The 22,778-nt window shown below is 46.4% G+C and overlaps 1 protein-coding gene and 1 long non-coding RNA gene across 11 annotated transcripts in view, besides 1 other annotated feature; one reads left to right on the forward strand and one right to left on the reverse strand.

Annotated features, from left to right (window-relative positions):
- POU2F3 (POU class 2 homeobox 3) overlaps positions 1–22,778 on the forward strand; it is an 83,308-nt gene that overhangs the window by 31,880 nt on the left and 28,650 nt on the right. For 6 of the 9 annotated variants that reach the window (NM_001244682.2, XM_011542739.3, XM_011542740.3 and 3 more), the window contains one exon: positions 693–727. The exons of the other annotated variants lie outside the window; for them this stretch is intronic. In NM_001244682.2, the coding sequence (NP_001231611.1) occupies positions 693–727 (35 nt within the window). The remainder of the gene's footprint in view (positions 1–692; positions 728–22,778) is intronic. 9 annotated transcript variants of the gene reach the window in all.
- LOC105369531 (uncharacterized) lies at positions 198–21,122 on the reverse strand. Of its 2 annotated transcripts, XR_007062924.1 has the most exons (4): positions 21,034–21,122; positions 20,594–20,706; positions 6,995–7,119; positions 198–355 (listed from the first exon to the last, which is right to left on the reverse strand). It is a non-coding gene; the product is annotated as an uncharacterized LOC105369531 (long non-coding RNA). The 2 variants fall into 2 exon arrangements; XR_002957268.2 differs by lacking the exon at positions 198–355 and having other exon boundaries at positions 6,768–7,119.
- Positions 7,668–7,857: a silencer, noted in NCBI's record as "fragment chr11:120146894-120147083 (GRCh37/hg19 assembly coordinates)". NCBI's record gives its function as "represses an EF-1alpha promoter that drives an FKBP-Casp9 reporter gene in an ReSE screen in HepG2 liver carcinoma cells {active_cell/tissue: HepG2}" and the evidence as "EXISTENCE:reporter gene assay evidence [ECO:0000049][PMID:32094911]".

Consider the following 22,778-nt stretch of genomic DNA (forward strand, 5'->3'; position numbering starts at 1 on the left):
TTTTTAGTAGCAATGGGGTCTCACTGTGTTGCTCAGCCTGGCTCAAACTCCTGAGCTCAAGTGATCCTTCTGCCTCAGCCTCCCAAAGTGCTGGGATTACAGGCATGAGCCACCGTTTCCAGCCACCAAAAGACATTTCTTTTAAGCACATATTTACTTTTTCAGCCCAACATTTATGGTAACAGTTGAGGGTGAGAAAAAACAAGAAAGACAGCTGTCTAGCTGACATACTTTAGGTGTCATCTCTCCTGGAGGGCTGGGCTAGTAGCATGACTTCTGTCCTAGGGAGTCCTTTGGGATCCATGCTGGTCTCTTCTTGGTCCCTTGGTCCCTGGAGGGATGTAGCAGCTGCCATCTGAGGGGGAAGCCCGGGCATAGAAGCATGCGGTGGAGTGAGCTCTCCAGTTGGCATGGCCAGCTGTCCTCCCCACAGACTCTGATTTGCTATGTGACCTCAGACGATTCAGCCTCCCCTCCAAGGTGACCCTTTACCCAGCTATCACCACCCTGGAGGAGACTTTCCAAAGGCGTTTCCAGGAAACAGGTCGAGGAGGAGGATCCCAACCACAAGCGAAGCAGGTGCTCTTTTTCAAAATAGAGCCACACGCCTCTCAACATCCTAGTTTTTTTCTAACCTTCAGCTCTTCCAAACCTGCTACCAACTAATATACATATATTTTTATCTTTTCTAGGAAATGATCGAAATGGCCTAGATTTCAACAGGCAGGTAAGAACTTGGGTCAGAAAGAAACGTTTATTCTATAAAATTTGGGCATCACCTATACTGTCTGGTATGGAGGAAGACAAGATTAAGTACAGTTTGGGGGTGTTTATTCACAAACCCCAACCTTTCAGGATCAAAGGACCTTGAGCCCAACCTCCCACCCTAACCCATGAGCCAATGTTGGGGTCTCTTCAGTACTCTCTCAGAAAAGGGCTAACAAATGGAGCACCTGTTTAGGGTAAACTTTATGCCAGATGTGGTCCAGAAATCTAAGACAAGAGCTCTTTTCCTGTCAATGCTTAGCCTGAGTTGCCTCTTGGGTGGGTGTTTGCATGAATTGACTGTGTACAGAGGAATTTATGCAGCCACAAAGGATGAGGTGCCTGGGTTGCCACAGAGAATTCCTGATTTAAAGGAAGAAGCTAGAGAACATAACAGGAAACAGATAGGCAGAAAGAGCTCAAAAAAGAGCAGGTAACCAGGCTCGGGGGCAATGTAGACATGCGCCTGGTGCTTTGCAAGGAAACCAAGTTGAATGAGGTTAGACTTAGTTAGGAAGGGCTTTGGGCAGAAGAAGGTGGTGTTGGAAAGATTGCAGGACAGATGGATGTGGATGTGTAAAGAGAAGGGGGAAGCCGAGGGAGAGGACTTGCCCTTGAGGTTGGAGGCTGATGGGAAGATGGCGGGGTGGGAGGTAGGACAGGGTGTGATGTCAGAAGCAGATGGCGGGAGTGGGAGAGTTTGTTGGGAGGAGAAAGGCTAAGCTGGAGCCAAGCAGGGAGCAATAATGGGGAGTCCTAGAGTGAGGGAGAGGGGTAAGAATTAAACACAAACTTAGAAAGCCTGGGTTTTCGTCCCATTTCTGCCACTAACTAGGTGTATAACCTTAATCAAGTTATTTAATATTTTTGGTCTGAGTTTTCTCAACTGAAAAATTAATTTATTCCATAAATTTGGCAGTGGGGGAGTACTTGCACTATGCCAGGTATGGGAACACAAAATTAGGACATGGTCTCTGCCTTGAAGGAGCTCAAAGTCTAGTATAAGGACGGGGTGGAATGTCTATAGAGAGAGGGAGAGGGACAGACTTACTCTTAAGTGAATAATTATAATACAGCCTCATTTATGTTTTACTAGAGGTATGGAAAAAGTGTAAAATCAAATAGAAATAGGAACACTGAATTCTTCCCAGGAGCTCAGAGCAGACATCATGGGTGAGGTGATATCTGAGTCTGTCTCTGAAGGATGAGTAGGAAGTTTTAGTCAGAGAAGAGTGACGTAGAAAGGGAGATGGCAAGAAGGAAGGAAAAGGGCTGCATTGGGTAATCACTAGGATTCCTCCCTTAGATTCTGCTATCCTGAGTCCAGATCTAGATGGAAGTCTAGGATGGGGGCTGGAGATCAAAGGCAGACATAGGTTCTTCTCCTCCTTTATCTGCAGAGTGATATGAAGTCACTGTTTTGTTTTTAAGACAGGCTATCACTCTGTTGCCTAGGCTGGAGTGCAGTGGTGTAATCACAGCTCACTGCAGCCTTGACTTCTGGGGCTCAACCAATCCTCCCACCTCAGCCTCCCAAGCAGCTGGGATCACAGGCATGCACCACCACGCTTGGCTAATTTTCTGTATTTTTTGTAGAGATGGGGTTTTGCCACCTTGCCCAGACTGGTCTTGAATTCCTGGGCTCAAGCAATCCTCCCTCCTCAGCCTGCCAAAGTGCTGGGATTACAGGTGTGACCCACAGTGCCTGGCCTGAAGTCACTATTAACATTTCCTAAAAGGCTGCTAATTCTGGGTACATTCTTCACAGTCAGAGAGAAGAATAATGTTGAGTCCTAAGCCAACACCTTTTAGGCAGGCAAATTCTGCAGTTTTATTCATCAGGAAGGCTGGGGAGTTTGCTAACAAATGAAAGCCAACTACCCTCCCTTTACACCTGAGAACTAAAACAGAGATAGGCTTCAATTAAAGAGAGATCTAAGTTAGCTACAGAGAGGAAGGACTTCCAGCCAATGCAGTTTATTAAAAACTACCAGGGGAGGGAAACTGTAGAGTCAGCATCTCACTCAAGGTCTTTAAATGTGAGACAGGTTCTTACCTCAGAGATAGTTTGGCCAGGTTTGCTTCAAGGGCAGGAAAATGGAGGAGATGCCCAAGGATTCTGTGATTCTGATGGATTCTCTGATCCTGATCCTAAACAGGTTGGGATGTGTCTTGGGCCCTGTGCTTTCTGCCCTGAGGACTCAGGTTTCCCCAGCCCAGGGCCCACCTCTCCTGGCCCCAGCCCCTTGGGACAAGATGCACGGGGAGGAGCCTCTTCCATACCGAGACATGGCAAGGCCAGCCTTGCGGGGAGGTGGCCAGCTTCACAGGCCCCATGGGCTTGGCGGCCCATGTGATTTGTTGGAAGCTTGAGACACACTAGTGCTGGAGAGAAGGATGAGGGCAGCCCCTCTGACCCTGGGAGGCCCCTGACCCTTGGAACATCTTTGTAGTATGGTTTCCCCACACGGTGGCTGCTGCTGGGAGTGGGCCTTGCTGGAGTTTGTTTCCCTTGGATGAGCCTTGTGGGGTGAGTTGTCCCCTCCCTCTTCTGGGAGGGGTTTGGATTCTCATCACTGACAAGAACAGACACGACAGATCTTTCCTTTAAAGAGGGTGGAGGGAATTTTGGAGGAAGAGACACTCTGCCCGGTCACGTTCATTTACACACTCAGGCTGGAGCTCTCCTCCGCTCACACTCACACCAGCTCACCTGCAGGTCAGTGGGTGGGCACCCAGGACTTCCCAGGCCCCTGCTTGAGGGTCACACTCTCACACTTCACAGCAAGGGAAGCAAACTAAAACTTGCTAACCGCCAGGCTCGGGGCAAGGCGCTTCTGGCACTGTATCTCCTTTAATTCTCACTCTAAACCAATGAGGTAGGTGATACGATCCTCATTTCATAAGTGAGAAAACTGCCTCCCAGGCAGCCCCGCCTTTTTCAGAGAAGGATTTGAGAGATTAAATAACCTGATGAAGTTCACACAATTGGTTGACAGGCTGAGCCAGGATTTGAACCCATATCTCTTTGACTCCAGAGCCCATTTTTCCCATGAGGCCTTGCTGCACCTGCCCTGCTCCCTGTATCCACACACCATCCCTGGGGAGAGGCCTGGGAGCCAGAGATTGAGTGTGACCTCACCATGACTAACTGGGAGGAAATGGGAGGTAGAAGGAGTAGGGAGGGGAAGAAAGAATGGTTGTGTAGGAGCAGCCTCTGCATCTGACACAGACAAGGGGTTGGCAGAAACAGGGGAGCAGAGAAAGAGCCACTGCCCTGGGTGAAGCTCCTGTTGCAAGGCCCCAGGCCAGTTGGTGCAGCCAGATTCTGGGTGAACCACAGTCCTGAAGTTGCATGAGCAACGAATGCTCATGGCTCATCGGGAAGTTTCCACACTGAGCCTGTTAACTTCCTGGTCCCAGGAAGGCAGACTGAGTCTGTCTGGGGGAAAAGGGTGGGAAGGTCAAGGGACCCAGAAGCAAGGCCAACCCTCCATCCCCAGGACAGATAAGATAGACTTGAGAGGCAACAGGCTAAGGCCCTGGATAGGGACTCAGAAGTCCTGGGTTCCAGTGCTGTCTGTCCCTCACTAGTTGCTGCCTTATACAAACCTCTTCTTTCTGGGGTTCTGTTTCCTGACAAATAAACTGGAAAAGCTTGGCTGAGATGCTGTCTGAGGCCCCAAACAGTCTTCATGTTACGGTGTCATTACTTATCTCTTGCCATAATTTGGCTGGTTAGTTGGAATCTGACTTCCACTCGACTTCCATTTTATTTTATTTGTCCATTGAAGAGAAATCAGGAAGAAAGTCACCCTTGAGCTGTAGAGAGTGAGGGGAAATATGTCACATGGAATTTTTCCAGCCTTTATGATTGTGTGTGAGCCAGCGAAAAGAATCATTTGAAATCTAGAGGGTGAAACAGAAGGACCCAGTAGGCTGGATCTAGGACCATCCATTCAACCTTTGAATATGCAGCCATTCTTAAGTGCTGGATAGAGAGGTGTCTGTTGTAAGAAGATAAACTGCAACGATGCATAGTGAATTCTGTGAGAGACATGAGAATGCTAAGCTCTACCTAAGGATATTACAGAAGAGATGGTGTCTGAAGTGGGTGGTGAGGGAAGAGTAGGGCTTTGACTAGCAGAGAGGGTTGGCAGGAATATTCCAGGCCTAGGGGATAGTGAGTTGTCTCCCTTGCTGGGTTAGGCCAGGCTATGAAGATGTTGAATGCCTAGCAAAGAAGTCTGGGGCTTATTCTGTGGGCAGTAAGGCGCTACTAGGTGTTCTCAAGCATGACTAGTTTCATTTACTAGAAGAGCATTGGAGGGGAGTGTGGGTGAGAAGGGAAGGGAGGATGAGTGATGAACTGATGCAAGAGAGGCCCAGTGGAATGCTGCTGTAGCCAGAAATGTGAAGGATACAGACAGAGCATGAAAGTTATGCACACAGGCCAGGCGCAGTGGCTCATATCTGTAATCCCAACACTTAGGGAGGCCTAGGTGGGTGGATCACCTGAGGTCAGGAGTTCAAGACCAGCCTGGTCAGCATGGCGAAACACCATCTCTACTAAAAAATACAAAAATTAGCTGGGTGTGGTGGCAGGTGCCTGTAATCCCAGCTACTCAGGAGGCTGAGGCAGGGAGAATCGCTTGAACCTGGGAGGTGGAGGTGGCAGTGAACTGAGATCATGCCACTGCACTCCAGCCTGGATGACAAAGCGAGACTCTGTCTCAAAAAAAGAAAAAAAAGAGAGAGAGAGAAAGGAAAGAAAGAAAGAGAGAAAGAAAGAAAAAGAGAGAAAGAAAGGAAGGAAGGAAGGAAGAAAGGAAGGAAGGAAGGAAGGAAGGAAGGAAGGAAGGAAGGAAGGAAGGAAATGCACACAAACATAGAGCCTGGCTGCCTGGCTGTGAATCCTAGCTCCAGCACTACCTGACCATGTGACCTTGGGCAAGTTCTCCAATCTCCATGTGCCTCAATCTTCCCATCTATAAAGTGGGGAGAATAGTGATATCTGTCTCACGGGGTTATTGTGAGGGTCAAATGATATGTAGCTAACTCTTAGACAAGTATCTTGAACATATACACTGTATATGTGCTATTATTATTACTATTTCAGTAGGCATGGAGAGACCCAGCTTTAAGAGATAATTCTGAGATAAGATCAGGAAGATTTTGGCGACAGGTTGGGCATGGACAGCAAAGAAGAGGGATGAGTTAAACATGGCTGAGAATTCTAGCTTGAGATGCTGAACATTGGTGGAACCACAACCTATCATCAAGAAGACAGGAGGTGGAACAAACTTATCCAGATGATGGGAGGAGAAGGAGGGGCAGAGAATGAGCTTTGGGAGCCCAATGCATGGCAAGAAATTTGGATCTGGAGCCCAGGAGACAGGCAGGACTGAAGATGCATATTGGGGAGTTGCCACTGGATCATATTACATGGAGTGATGAGAGGGAATGGGATTACCTGGGGAGGATGTGCAGAGTGGGAAGAGGACCAAGGACAGACCTGGAGAAGGGCACTTAAGGGACAGGCTGAGGAGTGGATGTCTATAGATGAAACTAGGAAGGAAGGTCAAAGGGACAGGAGGGGAGCCATGCTCACAAAGGAGAGATGTTCATGAAGGTGGGGAAAACCAACAGCATCAGAGCATACGGAGCAATACAGTAGAGTCTGAAGCCTAAAAGTTGGCTAGGAACTTGGAAGTCAGGCAGGCAAGGATAGCCTCTGCCTGGTGTCTGTCTGGTCCACAGTGAGAGTGGATGTCAAGCTTGCTGCCACTGAGGGGTGAGTAGGAGTCAAGGAAATGATGGAGACTTGGACTGTAGAATTCCCTTTCGAGGAATAGGGTGATAAAGAGATGGAGGTGTTTGGCTTAAGATGGAGGCAGTGTGAAAAGAAGGCTTTTGTGGAGGAAGGGGACTTGAGTGAGTGTGGCCTGGGAAAGCTAGGAAAGGCAGTGCAGGAGAAAGGAAAGAGGGATCTGGTGGTGGCAGTGGGAGGACCCCAGTGGAGGGCTCTTCTGAGAGGGAAGGAGGGTTGAGTGCCCTGGCAGTTGTGTTCAGGAGCCCAGGGCACAGCTGTCCTTGCCTGGAGTCTCTCCACTCCATTTCCTGCTCTTTGGGCCACCAGCTAACTTCAGAAGAAAACTGGGAGGTAGAATTGGATTAAAGGGGCTTGGGGGTTCCAAAATGACAACTGCATACGTAGGTGGCCTCACACCTGCTCTGTTCCGGTAACTTCTGGAACCCTCATCTTCCAGGGCCATGGATTTCCACCAGGCAGATCAGGACAGTGTTTTATGTATGCTGTTGAGCATTGTGTTGCTTGAAGACCTCCCAAAAGTCCTGTGAGGCCAGAAGAGAGTCTGAAGCAAGTTGGCAGCTGTCCTTGTCCCACGTTTCCTGCCCCAAAAGCTGAGAATCAGTGGCCTGGGGTTTCCTCTCAGCCCCACACTTGGCAGCATTCTAAGCTCACCTGCACCAATGGCTCTCCCATGCCTGTTTCTGGACACCTGCGCCAGCTCGTCCTGAGGAGTTGCCCTGGTGTGCCCTAGTGTAGCATTTAGTTTTAAACCAACTGGGATTTTCCATCATTGTTTTGTTGAATGTGACCAACCAACTACCACGGTTCTCTAGCTGCTCCGAGTACAAATTGACTTGTAATTAATTGGCTCGTTGGGGCATCTTCTTTAAAATCAACAAGATTCAGGTACGGAAAGGTCTCCAAGGACCCAGAATGATGGAGAGGTTTCTTCAGGGAGGCCAGTGAGGGAAATGCAGGGGCAGCAGTGCCAGGCCCTGGAGTTGGCAACGGAGGGTCCGTGGTGATGGCAGAGTAAGTGCCCCCCCACAACCAGGAGCAGCCTCAGGACAGCAAGCACCAAAGCCACTGAGCCTGAGAGAGCAAGGGAGGGAATGAATAGGCCATGTTGGATTGTTTAGTTCCACAAACCTGCACTTAGCTGACTATTAGGAAGACACAGAAGAGTACATCATGGTCCCTGCCCACAGGAGCTCCCAGCCCAGTGGGGAAGATGTAGGGTCTGCCGCAGAGAGGGAGGTCAGTGGGGCTGGTTCAGAGGGCCTAAGAAAGCCATGCCAGGAGAATAGAGCCTCAGGGTAGTGGGTCCAATGGAGGGAGGCTCCGAGACCTCTTTGGGAGGATGAGAACTGAGGGCTGAAAGACTCTTGTTCCCCTGAGGATTGCTTGCTTCTGTTCCAGGATCCAGCCTCCAGTCCTGTACTTCCTGGTGGACACAGGATTTGGGGGTGGTGGGGCAGGGCAGGGCGGGGCAGGCTAAGAAAGAGAAGAGGATGAGGAGCCAACAAACCACATTTTGCTCAACCCTAAGCAGTACAGCTGGGTTTTCAGGGTCAGTCTATAATAACCTCTCTCTCCCCTCCAAAATGTCAAAGCAGAAATTTAAATGCAGGAGCCTGACAGATAGAGCTATGTTGGAGATACGGTTTTGATGCCTGGCCACAACAGGCTTTCTAAGACCTCACTGCAGAATTAAACACATCCACTAGGCACAGATAGAGCCGGCAGAAAACAGACCTGAAAGCACCCTCCTGGCCGGGTGCAGTGGCTCACACCTGAAATCCTAGCACTTTGGGAGGCCGAGGTGGGTGGATCACCTGAGGTCAGGAGTTCAAGACCAGCCTGGCCAACATGGTGAAACCCCACCTCTATAAAAAATACAAAATACAAAATTACAAAAATATGCATTTTTTACTAAAAAATACAAAAATACAAAATACAAAAATAAAAATACTAAAAATACAAAAATACAAAAAAATATTAAAAATACAAAATACAAAAAAATTAGCTACTAAAAATCCAAAAAAGTTTAGCCGGGCATGGTGGTGCACGCCTGTAATCCCAGCTACTTGGGAGGCTGAGGCAGGAAAATCACTTGAACCCAGGAGGCAGAGGTTACAGTGAGCCGAGATCGTGCCACTGCACTCCAGCCTGGGTGATAGAGCCAGACTCTGTCTCAAAAAATAAAAAATAAAAAAATTTTAAAAAGCACCCTCCTAGTCAACAGGCAGATCTGGACAGAAGGCCCATATGGGACCAAGCCACACCCTCCACCTCCTTCTAACCCTGATGTTCTCAGTTTTATCAGATCCAGTGTCTCTTGTAATGAGGCTCCTGTAAAACCCCTTTAATATCTTAGAGTGAAATTTATAGAAAACATAGGCCAGGTGCGGTGCCTCACGCCTGTAATCCCAGCACTTTGGGAGGCTGAGGCAGGTGGGTCACCTGAGGTCAGGAGTTCCAGACCAGCCTGGCCAACGTGGTAAAACCCCATCTCTACTAAAATTGCAAAAAAAAAAATTAGCCGGGCGCAGTGGCTTATGCCTGTAGACCCAGCTACTCAGGAGGGTGAGGCACAAGAATCACTTGAATCCGGGAGGCGGAGGTTGCAGTGAGCTGAGATCACACCACTGCACTCCAGCATGGGCAGCAGCGAGACTCCGTTACAAAAAAGAAAAAACAGATATACAAATAAAAATCAGTAATATTGTCTAATTTGAATAAAAAGGAAAAAGCAAAGTAATTTATAAAACAATGTGTATTTCAGCAGGTATATCCTTAGACATATTCCCCTAAAAGGTTTAATGAGACAGTAGGTCCCTCATGCCTCTATGAGTGTGACAGACACAAGTACAGGCTGATATTGGTATGCTATCCTGGCTGCTCAAAAGCCACAATCTTTCAAAGTGTTAAACAACTCTTTGTAAAGCTCCAGCCAAATCTAATACTTCCTCAATTAACACAGAAAATGGCATCCCTGGGTAAAATGCATATTAAGAGTGTGTAAAAGATACTTTGTGTTCACATAAAAAATAGAGTTGGGTTTTGGGCTTATATGATTATAGTCAGGCTGTTCACCGACACAGATGTCCGGTGGGGCACTTGGAAGTCATATAAAAAGTTGTATGGGATGCAAAGAAGTGTTTATTTGATACTGTCTTCTACAGCGCAAGATGTCTAGAGTACCTGCCCTCAGCCCAATAAATGCAAACCACGCCTCCTAATTATTAAGACAGCCAGAGAAACCACGCCACAGATTTCAGAAAACATCTCCCGGGGTAGCTGTGATCCCCAGTGAGAACGAGTGACCTTGACCCACCAAGGGGATAAGTCACTTCTCTTACCAGGAGACAGAGCCAGATGTGACTGGCTGGAGACTTTCCACATAGAAATACAACACCAGGAAAAGGCGCCCCCAGAAAGAATGCATACAGCCTCTGCCCTCAGAGAACTTACTTGCTGTTTATCCAGTGAGGGAGATGGGTCTGAAAAATTCCTAAAAATGTCAGAGCAAGGGGTGTGTAAACCAGCGCCACCCCCACAGGGAATGAGCTGCGCTGACTGAGTGATTAGGTGGATATGGAGCAGAATGTTCAGGCAGGAGATAATTGGCAAGATTAAATAACTCTCCATGGACACAAGGGCCTGTCAGGGGGTGGAGGGCAAGGGGAAGGATAGCATTAGAAGAAATACCTGATAAAATGACGGGTTGATGGGTGCAGCAAACCATCATGGCACGTGTATACCTATGTAACAAACCTGCACATTCTGCACATGTATCCCAGAACTTAAAGTATATATAAAAAAAGATTAAATAACTCCCTTCTCCAAAGTGATGTCCCCATTGTAGTCAAGATACTATAATAATTATAGCATTTCTTGAACTCTGACTGTATGCCGGGCATTGAGTATAAAAGGGTTTAGCAACCCTGTGAAGTAGTTGTCATCATTCCTATTCCATAGATGGGAAAACTGAGGCACTGAGAGGTTAGGGAATTTTCCCATCATAACACTGTTCACAGAGAAGTCTGTATTTAAAGACAGGCTTGCCAGACTCCCGACTCTGTGGTTCTCCCCCCACCACTGCCTGCTTGTCTCGGGAGGAGGCCGTGTGATATGGTGGTTGGGTCATATTGTCTGTATTGGTCAACTCCTCTGCGCCTCTGATTCCTCATGTGAAGATGAGAACAGTAAGAGTATCTATTTCCTAGGGATGGCGTAAGAATGAATAGAGTTAAGATCTATAAAGTACTTCGAATAATGTCTGGTATACAATAACGCACCAATAAACATTAGCTCTTATTATTTTCTGATGAATAAGAACCCATCATTTTCTCCACCACCCTTCTCCCTGTGTGGTTACTTAGCTGGGCTTGCACCAGGTTGGAGGGCTGCAGATGCTATTAGAGAGGTAATTTTTTTCTGGAATCCATCATCTCCCAATCTCAGCCCCACCGCCCTCTGCAAGCGTGGGCGGGGAAGCAGTTGGTAAACGTGTTTGTTTTTGGAGAGGTGGGAATTTGTCCTCTTTTGCCAGCCATGCTTGGTGCTTTGGCCTGAGGCTCAGGTGTCAACTGTTTCCTGTTTGTAGCCTGGGCAGCAGCCCCAGTACTGGGTGGACCAAGCCCTGTGGCAAGCCCCATAATGAACAGCACAGAGGAACAGGAACAGCTGTCTGAGTTCTCCAGAAGCCTGTGCCTAGTACTTGCTGGTCTACCAGACAGCCCCAAACACCACCAAAAAGCCCCTCTGCAGCATGGGGTTTGGGCCTAGCTGATTCCGGCTCCAGCACTGGCATGAGCTCTGCATGCATTCTGGATGGGTAGCGGAGACCGAATGCTCGTCTTGGCTCAGGTGTTGGGTGGAGAACAGTGAGAATGAAGGAGGGAGAAGAAGGTAGGGGTCCTTCACCTGATTGTGCAGGAGCCAAAAAGTGGCTTCTCTCTGGAGATTTCAGTGAGTTGCCTTTGGTGGATGCAGACACTGATGACACTAAAAGCAGGGCCAGGCCTTCCCTTTTTCAAGCAGGCGTCTCTTTGGAGCAAGGCTTTTGAAAGGGAAGCTGGATTTAGCCCCAAACAATAACAGGGGAAGTTAATACTATTTATTGAACCTTCAGTTTATAACAGGCAGTGGGTTGAGTGCTTTGCAAGCAGTATCTCATTTAAACCTATAGCCACCCAGAGCAGTAGATTTTATATTTCCATTTTAAAGATGAAGAAACTGAGGCTAGGAGAGGTCAAGCAACCTGCTTAGAGCCAGAATTCAAACCAAAGTTGAAGTGCTGTGCCAGGCACTTTACATAGGTGATATCTTACTTGAGATTACCTAATTAATCCTTACAACAGCCTGGTGAGGTAAGCATTATTCTTCCCATTATAAAGCTGGGGAAACTGTAGCTCAGAGAGGTTAAGTAACTTGCCCAAGGTGGAGCTCAGATGTAAGACAGGCCTGTCTGACTTTCTACCATACCAGGCTGCTTTTGAGAGAAAGAGGACAGACAGAGAGAGAGAGAGAAAAAGAGAGAGAGAGAGAGTGTGTTTGTGTGTGTGCACTCCTGCAAATGAGACATGACCTAATGTTACCCAGAGCCCCTCACTTGACATGTGTCCAGTACTTTTCCATGTTTCCAAAGCCCTGTCAGTCATACCAACACCCGCAGACCTCTTCTGGCTGAGGCTTGCCAGCAGAGATGGTAGAGATAGTATCTGCAGGCTCAGGGAGGGTTGCCAGGTAAAGGGTGGGGTGGAGAAGTGTTCCCACCCAAAGAGGGTTCCCCTGGCCCTTCGAGAAGCCGCCTCCCTGGGCCTGTGCGTGAGAAGGGTCCAGGGAAGAGGCAGTGTTTGCCTGTGTGTGCCTGCAGGGAGGGGGCGGGCCCTGGCTTTCTCTTTGCCCCCAAGTCAAAGAGGGCTCTGCCTGCAGCTCTTGTAACCAACCAGAGAGTCGTCTTCTCCCAGAATCATAGCCTTGGCTAAAAATAAACTTTTTCCACCTTAAAGCTTCCTTCCCCCTAGTCTGACCCTTAAGCGGCTTTGGAGGCCACCCTGGGGCTCAGGTGCTGTTTCTGTGTCCCTGTACACTTCCTACCTGATACCAGGTCACAGCGAGTTTTATGTCCCTCTCTGCTTGACAACTTCCAGAGGGCTTCTCTAAGCCAATAGGTTTTTTTCCACTCACAAGAACTGTGTCAAGGGGGTGTTAGTGCTCTCATTTAACAAAGAAGATAACTGAGGCCCAAACGGTTGACTGGCCTGCAACTCAGTAGCAGAGCCAGGACTTACTCCATTCCCTTTTCTCTGTGACTGCTGGATCACAGGGGCTGTGCTCACTACAGGTCTGTTATCTCCAAATCCAGCTTGTCCCACTGATCACCGCTGCCTTCATGGCCCCCATACCCTCCTTGACCTCTGCTGCTTGTGTTCAGATCAAGTGTTGAGACTTCCCTCCCTTTTCCACCAAAGCCCTCTTGGCTCCCAAATGCTGAAGATAACTTAGTTCACATCCTGCTGTGCTTTTCTTTCTTGGCAGCCCCTCCCCTGCGCTGGCATCTACTCATATTTCCTCCCGTATACTTCATCAGCACGGACTGCTGTGGGGTGTCCCTGGTTCCAGTCCTGTAGCAGACAGTGTGGTTGCAGATCGAGCTCTGGCATTACACAGACCTGGCTTTGAATCTTGGCTCCACCAACACAATCTGTGTAACCTGGTGACTTATGCTCTCCAAGTGTCAGTTTCCTCTCTGTTCAATGGGAGGAAAAATAGGATCAACCTTATAATGCTGTTAGGAGGAGGATTCAATGAATCTTGAGTGTAAAGTGTCTTGGACACAGTAGACACTCAATAACTGTGAGTTGTTGTTATTCCCATTGCAACAATTTAGCAGCAATGTTGGTTCCAGTTGCCCCATTTCATATCCATGTGGCTCCAGTTCACCCCTTCTTCTTAGCTTTGCCCTTGGAAGGCTCTGAAGACCTCTGGTTCCTCCGTTTCCAGATGACAGTGCTTCTCAGATTCCCCCAACTGCTGGCCTTCTTCTGAGTGTTCTTACCTGTGCCCTGGTGCTTCACTCAGTCATTACTAAAGCAGTCATAAGAAAGCCATGCTTTCGGTCTGGGCTATGCACTCAGTCTGGGCCAGGCAAACACAGGCATGCCTCACTATACCTAACAGGGTGGTTTTTGAAATGTTGTATACAAATCAAAGTTTCATCAATGAAATATTATTTTCCTTCACCAGAGAATCTGTGTTTAAAGAAATATTAGGCTGGTCACAGTGGCTCATGCCTGTAATCCCAGCACTTTGAGAGGCTGAGGCTGGCGGATCACTTGAGGCTAGGAGTTCAAGACCAGGCTGGCCAACATGGCGAAACCCTGTCTCTACTAAAAACATAAAAACTAGCCAGGCATGGTGGCGGGCACCTGTAATCCCAGCTATTCTGGAGGCTAAGGCACAAGAATCACTTGAACCTGAGAGGCAGAGCTTGCAGTGAGTCAAGATAGCACCACTGCACTCCAGCCTGGGTGACAGAGACTCGGTCTCAAAAAAGAAACAAACAAAAAAAAGAGAAATATTAGACTGAATATTTTCAGAGATCAAAGAATGAATTTTTATGGTCAGTTAGAGCCAAATATCATCTATAGGCTTTGCTTAAAGCAAGTTATACATTAAGATTTTTATGTTTATATTTTCCCCCTTGATGACATCTCACAGTGTGTGATCCTAACAAGAAATTTTTTAAAACTTAACCTAGGCCATCACTGTGGATGGTTTCATCTGAGGGCTTGGAAGTGGGTTTTGCGGGCCACTTATGTAGCTGGCAAACTGAGCCTAGGAAGATTTGGATACCCAGTCACTGGCAGTAAACATGGGTTCCTGCAGAGGCCAATGGTGGAGAGCTGTGCTCCTAGCTCTGGGCTGGGACTTTTGCAAGTGTGGCTGAGAAGAGTGATCAAGCTGGACTTGGACTCTAAGGCGAGAGCTGCCAAGCCAGAGAAGGCTAACCACTCTGTCTGGGAGGAGGAAGCAGTGAAGCTGCCTGAAGACAAGGAGTCCCTCCCTAGGTGTCTGACATGAACCAGAACCAACTTCCTTTCTGAGGATTTGGTGCCTCCCTTAAGGATGGCCTGTCAGCTTGGAAGAGGGCAGCTTTCTGGCTATTTAGGGCACTCCCCAGACTGTGTAGAGGCTGCACTTGCCCACGTGACCTGGGAGAGACAGGTGCTTTTCTGGCATAAAGCAAGGTATGGAGCAGCAGCATCTGGGGTTTGTGACTTTGTCCAGGATGTGGCAACCCAGCAGCATCCAGTGGGCTGCCCCGTCCTGCTCAGGCAGGCCTCTGAGGATCTGGGGAGTCCAAGTGCATAAGAGGCCTCCAGTTCCCCTCCTTCCCTGGGCCCTAAAGACTTCCAAGTACCACCTGGGAAGCAACGAGAATCCTGTCTGGAATGATGGAAGCTCCCGAAAGCAGAGAGGAACAGAGAAGTAGGCATCTTGATTCTGGTTTGCATGAGCCCTGACCCTAGCCTGCCCCCACCCACTCCCTTCTCCCCACTTCCCATCTCATTCTCAGGTTCCTGTTCATCTTTCCAAACTCAGTTCAAATGCCTCATTCTCCAACTTACCCCCTCCACTACCTCCACCTGTGTGCCTTAATAGGCTTCGTGTGTGTGTGTGTGTGTGTGTGTGTGTGTGTGTGTGTGTGTGTGTGTCTGCCCTGCCCACCAGTCAGTGGAATATTTGGGAAAAGGGTCTGTATCATATTTATGGTAGAACAGTGCCTGTGCGGTTCAGTTACTGGTGCATTCAGTAAGTGTGTTCTAAATAAATGCATGGAGGCAAGCGGATCACTTGAGGTCAGGAGTTTGAGACCAGCCTGGCCAACATGGTAAAACCCCATCTCTACTAAAAATACAAAAAATTAGTGGGGCACGGTGGTGCGCACCTGTAATCCCAGCTACTTGGGAGGCTGAGGCAGGAGAATCACTTGAACCTGGGAGGCGGAGATTGCAGTGAGCTGAGATCTCACCATGGCACTCCAGTCTGGGTGACAAGAGCAAGACTCCATCTCAAAAATAAATACATAAATTAAGTAAGTAAATAAATGCACGGTTGGATTATTGGGCTGAACCTCTCCACCTGCCTATCACCCCGCTTCCTGGGGGCCACGAATGCCCATCTCCTCTGCTCTTGTGGCTGCTTTGCTCCCTGTTGTCTTTTCTTGCATCCAGTGATCCACAAAACCTGCCCCCTTTTCCCAGGAAGGTGAACTTGTTGGCTTTATGCAAATAGAGTGTGGAGTGGGCTCCATCCAGTCAGCTCTGGTAAATATTGCCTAACCCTACCACTTGCCGGCTGGGCCCGGGAGCTATTTACAGAGGCATCTCAGTGTTGGCTTGGTGGTTGTTGGGTGCTAGGGCCTAGCCTCTAGGGACCCGGAGTGTGTGCAGGACTCTGACCAACCCAGTTTGAGGTTTGTAGTTAGATCAGCTAATTATCCCAAGCCAGAACAGGGCTCTTACTAAACGCCCCTTAGGAAGTAACGTGGCCATCCTGGGGCTGCCTCTCCTGGCCATTTGAATGGAAACAGTGTGGTTGGGGACATCCAGTGACACATGACATCACTGTAACATTATTTTTCATAAACTGTGGAGATAAATTTGTGTTGAGCCTTTAGCCCCGGGGTGAGTGTGAAACTCACAGACTTTTAGGGCTAATGGGTCCTTGAGGCCGTCTGTCCCCTGTTCTCAGCAGCATCCCACAGAGCCCCGCTGCTCTGACACAAGGCTGTCTTCCTCCTTTTAATCCTGTGTGTTGACACGTTTGTTTATTCATAATATAATGTCTTTCACCCTCAGCGGTGAAATTTTAAAAGGAGAAATGGAGTGCAGGTGTACAGAACTAAATATATTCCATTTTTATCGTTCAAGATTTTGCATTTTTGGTGTTAAAATATTTAGTGCACGTAATGAAACGAAGGTCAGAGTCGGTGATGTTAGTTACTTTACTATTCTTATTTGGCAAAATAAAACAACTGTATCTGACTCTAAAAAAAGAAATGTTTACTAATCATGAGCCTCAAAAGCCTAAGAAAGAGTGATTCCAGTACGACCTATGCCTCATATACCAATTCTGCTGACACCCCTGTCAGATGGCCTGTGGTCCCAAGTCTCTGCCAAAACTCATCCTGGGTTTTCAGACTTGCTACCAGCCTGCTTCAGGACTGAGTGGGTTGAAATGCTAGACGCCATCACCTCTCTTGGTCACTCTGCCCGCTTCTGTTTCAGGGCCTGTGTCTGTCCCAATCACATGGCAGCCCTTCAATATTTGAGAAGAGTCATCACCCTGAAATCATCCCTTTTCTGTGTAAATATCCTGGATCTGTAAACGATTCCATATGTTATGCTGCTGAATGCCTTCCTTAAACCAGTTATATACTTAATACATGAATACTTTCCGGTTATAAAAAAATTTCATAATAAAGATTAAAAAGGAAGATTATTTTTATCCCTGTTCATGCTCAGTCCTCTTCCCAGAGGTAACTCCTTTTATCAGGGTAGCGTATATATGTCTGGAAGACTTTTTCTCTGGATATATATTACAAATGGAAATGTATAAATTTTTGTGGCCTACACACATATGTACAAATTATACCGTATATATTCTTTAGTGGCTTTTAAAATTTTTAAATAATGTTTATAGGTTGTTTCATGGCAGTACATAGAGAGTTATATGATTTTTGTTAATGACCACATAATGTTCTATTGTTTGGGGGTTTTTCTGTTTTTTTCTGAGACGGAGTCTTGCTCTGTCACCCAGGCTGGAGTGCAGTGGTGCTATCTCGGCTCACTGCAACCTCCGCCCCCAGGGTTCAAACAATTCTCGTGTCTCAGCCTCCCCAGTAGCTGGGATCACAGGCGCCCACCACCATGCCCAGCTCATTTTTGTTTTTTTTTAATAGAGATGGGGTTTTGCCATGTTGACCAGGGTGGTCTCGAACTCCTGACCTCAAGTGATCTGCCTGCCTCGGCCTACCAGAGGGCTGGGATTACAGGCGTGAGCCACTGCACCTGGCTTGTTCTATTGTTTTAACATAATCTTACTTTTCCATTCCCCAATCGATGGATATTAGGTTGCTTCCAATACTTTATTTTACAACGCTGTGATGAACTCCTTGAATTCGTTTGTGCCTTGTTGCCTTTACATGCATGTGTTTTGGTCTGCCAATCACTCCCTTTAAGTATGAGATCCACAAGTGTACAGCATAACACTCAATGCTCAGGTGAGATCCAGGCGGGCCAGAGCACGGTGTAACTATTTGTTCATCTAGCCATCCATTTACCTATTTGATTGTATTTATTGAGCAGGTACTATGCCTTTCTCTTGCCCTGATTTCTACTTGTGCCAGCTGCAAATAAGGCAGTAATGGGGCCTGCCCTCATGGAATAATGCAGTCCAGTACAGGAAACTCCCTCCATTCAGATACTCTACTTCTGTTAGTACCGCCTATCCTATGGGGTTTTTTAAAGGTAATTATGTCACACTGTCAACTTATACGCTCTTTGAGTCAGTTAATGCATCTCAAGTCTTTTTTCATATAAATTGTTGTCTCAACTTGTGCAGTTAATTTTCATATTTCTAAGTAAAGGATTTTTATATTTGTTCCTATGTTTTATCTTATGACTTGCTTCCCTTCCTGCTATATGTTTGAGCTTTTTTTTTTGTGAATCTTGATGTCCGCGCAGAGTATTAGCTGGCCCTGCTCCTCATGCAGAGATGTAATAAGTATGCATGCTACATCTTCATCCATCTTACTGATAACATTCTTAGCCACAGTGGACCACAAGCAGGGTCCTGTGGCATACCATTGGAGATGTCCCTCCTAGATGACAGTGACCCATCGTTAATCAACCCTATCTCAGCCCATACCACCTCATCTTGACCTCCAGGACAGTACCTAAATACATATTTACATATTTCAATGATAGTATCTGTCTGATCCCCCATTCTAAAAACCTGATGTTAAAGGAAACGAACCTAGTTTGGCATAACTTTATAAGTCACATGATATGGTGGAAAGAGGGTTGATTTGGGGGATTTGGTCAGGCCTAGATTCAAGCTCTGCCACTTAGCTATATGGCCTTTGGGAAATCATTTGACTTCTCTGAGACTCAATTTCCTATATGCGAGGACTGTCAAACGTATTTATGCATTAGTACCACATATGTTTAATAAGCACTTACTAAGTGATGGACATTATGCACTGTGCTGGGCAGGCCATAGTAAGCAAGATAGGTCTGTCAGGTATTAAGTGTGCAAAATTCATATCTTCAATCATTTTAGTGACAGAAATAAGGAAAGCCCTCCCTGGAACAGGTTTTCTAGACATTCAGCCCTAACCCTTGAGACCTGGGGATGTATCAGAGATTATTTCCCTTTTATACATAGGGAAACTCAGATACACTGGTAGAGTCCCTTGGCTCAAGTCCACTCAGCCTTTTGGTAACAAATTTGGTAGCTGCTCCCTAGCCTTAGAGAATTTATCTTAAACTGTCAATTGAGTAGGTTCAGCCAACCCTTGTGCCTAGAGCCCTGTCCCCAGCTAATAGGTGTAACAGGATAGGCACTTAGTTAATACAAATTAAGCCAAAGCACAAGTCAAGTGTTAAAGAGAGCTTCATGGCAGTGCTGCATTGCCTCACTTATCCAGAGAGCCAGTAGCCAACCTATTTAGACAGCTGACAGTAAGAAGGAAGCAAATGAGACCTCAAGCCAGGCCCTTTCTCAGAGCCTTAAACTTTTATTTTAGGGATGGTCTACTGAGCTTAATGATGTGGTTTTTCTAACCCTTAGCAGATAAAAGTGCAAATTCAAGCTGGAATAGGGGATTGCTAGAAGCAAGCATACCAACAGAAGCAGAGATAAACTTGATTGTGAGAAAGGAAGAAAAAAAAACTGGGAAAAGCAGAGCTCAGAGCTGAAAAAAAAGAAAAGAAAGAAAGAAAACAAACAAAAAAACCAAAAAAAAAAAAAAAAAAAACAAGAAAAAAGGGCAGTCTGGGGCCATACAGTACTACAGCCAACAGAGGTCAAACACATCAGTATCCCTGAGGGCATGGTTGCTTTTAAAACAAGTTAGAAATTATGACTCTGAGTCATTGACTAAATTATCTTTCAGGTATGCTTTAAGACAAAATAGGGATGTATATGATACATTTCAGCAAGATCTCTATTCGAAAAGAAACCAATAAATGTCTATCCAAAACCGAAATAAAAGGCTTTGGAGCTTCAAGAGATAGATTTCTGTGACTGAAAATCCACTTCTTTAGGAAGGATTCCTGAGAAAATCCTAGGCATTTGAAAGGTACGCTGAATTTTAGATGACTTGAGTTCAAGTCACAGCTCTCCTGCTAGCCAACATGTGCCTTGGACAAATCTCTCACCGTTTATGACCCTGTTTTCCACAAGCAGGAATAACATTATCTACCTTTTCAATCTCATGAAAGTATTCTGAAAATCAACAGAAATGTGTTTGAAAGTGCTTTGTAAACTGCAGAACATCATGGAGATGTACAAGTGAGGTCTGTGGGCCACACCCCTGGTGTTGCCTACTGCGAGACAGTGACACAAAATGTGGACAAAGAGATCAATTCCAAGTAGTTGCTTTAAATATATACATACGCACATGTATGTATTACATACGCACATGTATGTATTACATATGTACATGTATGTAATACATACATGTGCATATTTTCATATATGGGTGTATGTCTGTTCATTTAGATAATGTACCTTTAAACCTCTCAAGACACCTTTTTCACAGGCAAAAGAAGCAGCTCTACAGCTAACTTTGTCATCTTGTGAACTGTAACATTCTATATAGACACGTGACGTTTTGAATGCTTACTAACTTTCATCTTAATCTTCTCTAATCTAACACTAAGAATTCGCTTTTAAAAATCAAACATTGCAGAAATATATGGCTTAGAAAGTGGATACCTTCTAGAACCCCAAATGCTCTCTGCTGCATCTGTGATTAGCAGTTTGGCTTAGGGACCTTCAGATTTTTTTCTGTGCTAGTTCTGGTCCTGGAAGCATTCAACAGACAATTCCTGAAATAAACAGCCCTTTGTTAAAAAAGAGAAACCTTTAGGGGTGGAAATACATTTTATATTCTAAAAGCTCTCCAGTCTGCGCTGTTTGGGCCTTAGGCTCATCTTCTTGAGTTCTTACTTAGGCAATTGCGGTAAATAGCTTTTTAACCGGCTACCCTCGCTACAGTCATGCTCTCTTCAAATCCATATTCCACAGGGCTGTTAGGATAACTGAACTAAAACTAAAATCTCACTGCAATCGCTCCCCTTTACTTTAGTTCCACCATGCCCTCAGAGTCCCTTCTGAACTCTTTTGTCTTCTGCCATGGGCCCCTGCCTGCTCACCCGCCTGTCCTCTCCCTCCCCTACAGCAGCAGTCCCAAATTGCTGGTAGATCCTGAACAGGAAGAGAAAGCCCCGTTTCACCCTCTGCGACTTTGGACAGAGCCGCTTCTTCCACTTCCGCTTCTTCCACTTCCGCTTCCTGGGATGGCTTTCTTTGCTTTTGCTGCCTGGCAAACTTTTCTTCATCCTTCAGGGTTGCTTAGAAGGACTTTTCTTCCGAGAGCCTTCTTCATCTCATTCCCTTTTCTCTAGCTATTCTCCTCCCTGACAAAGCGAATGGCAGCCTTTTCTTTGCCACCTCTTACCTGCTTCTGAATGTTAGAAGTACTGCTCTGTAGGAGATGACTCTGACTTGCACAGCCTCTCAATTAACCTGGGGGCTTCCTATTCATCTTTGTGTCCCTAGTGCCTTTTGGTATACAGTAGGTGCTTGGTAAATGTTTGTTGGACTAAACTGAAATGGAAGGGGAACCTTTATAGGGCAGGAAACTGTTTCATTCACGCCACACAGAAGACCACCTTTTCCAGCTGCTGTTGAAACAGACCTCGGGCTGCCTCACTTGATTTGGGGTGCCACAGGAGTACAAGAGACAAGGAAGACCTCAGTCTTCATGGAAGACTAAACCATGAAAATTACCAGAGATAACCATTTGCTTCATTTATCCAATGCCCTTCAGAGGCAAGCTTCCAAATCACAGGTTTACTCAGGAAATGCCAAAGAGATTCCCATTCAGACCTGTTGAAAACTTCACTCTCAGTAACTATTTGGGCCACAAATATGTGTAAAGTCCCAGACTACACTTGTAAGTGTAGCCTGGAAATGTTTACCCCAACTGTGCACCATACATAAAAGCAATGTAGTACACAGAAGAGGCTGGAGTGAACAAGCACCTCTCAGTAGCTTCCAGAAGCCCAGAATTCTGAGTGGGAGGCCCAGTGCAGGTGCCTCACAGCATGGTACAGGCAGAAGGGAGGGGTCTGGAGGCCAAATAACCATGTAGAGAGTCAGGCTCTCCTCTTCCTAGCTGTGTGATGTTGGGAATGTTGCTTAAATTCTCTGAGCCTTGGTTCCCGTATCTGTTAAAACAGTTTGGTAAGATTACTTCCCTCATTGAATTATCAAGAAGAATAAATGATGGTATATTTGAAAGTGTTTCTCATCTCTACAGTGCTTTAAAAAATATTTTTTCTCTTTCTTGAGCTAATGCTCCTGTAACTAATCTGTGTAGTGCTTCACGATCATAAGTTGGTGTGTATATGTGTGTGTGTATGGGCACGCGCGTGCACGCGTGTGTACGTTCAGGACAGGGCATGTGCACTTCCTTTTATTGGATTCATCTGGAACCCCATAGTAAAATACACACTAGGACAGAGATTTCATGACATTCCTGAGCCACCTTTTTCCTCTCTTTACCTCTTCTCCTCCTAATGGGGGAGGTAAGAGCAAATATCCCACCTTGTAGTTACTTTGTATATGTGAGACTCAAGGAAATACAGGATGCTGGCTCCAAAGCCAAGTGCATTATGTTTCCATATCAAACAGATGTGTGTTTATCTGATTCTGAACCTTGCCCTGCATAGTCATTGAGAACTCTGAGTGGGGTTCAGAGTTCTTTCTTTTGACTGCGACTAAATCTCAGTAGGGGAACAGCAGGATTAGGGCTACAACTGAGTTATTACAATAGCCAGAGTAGGCAACAATTTCAGAGTGATAAAAACAGATGACAGAGACACGTGGCAGTGCA

This window comes from Homo sapiens, chromosome 11 (assembly GCF_000001405.40).
Source record: "Homo sapiens chromosome 11, GRCh38.p14 Primary Assembly".
Lineage (NCBI taxonomy): Eukaryota > Metazoa > Chordata > Mammalia > Primates > Hominidae > Homo > Homo sapiens.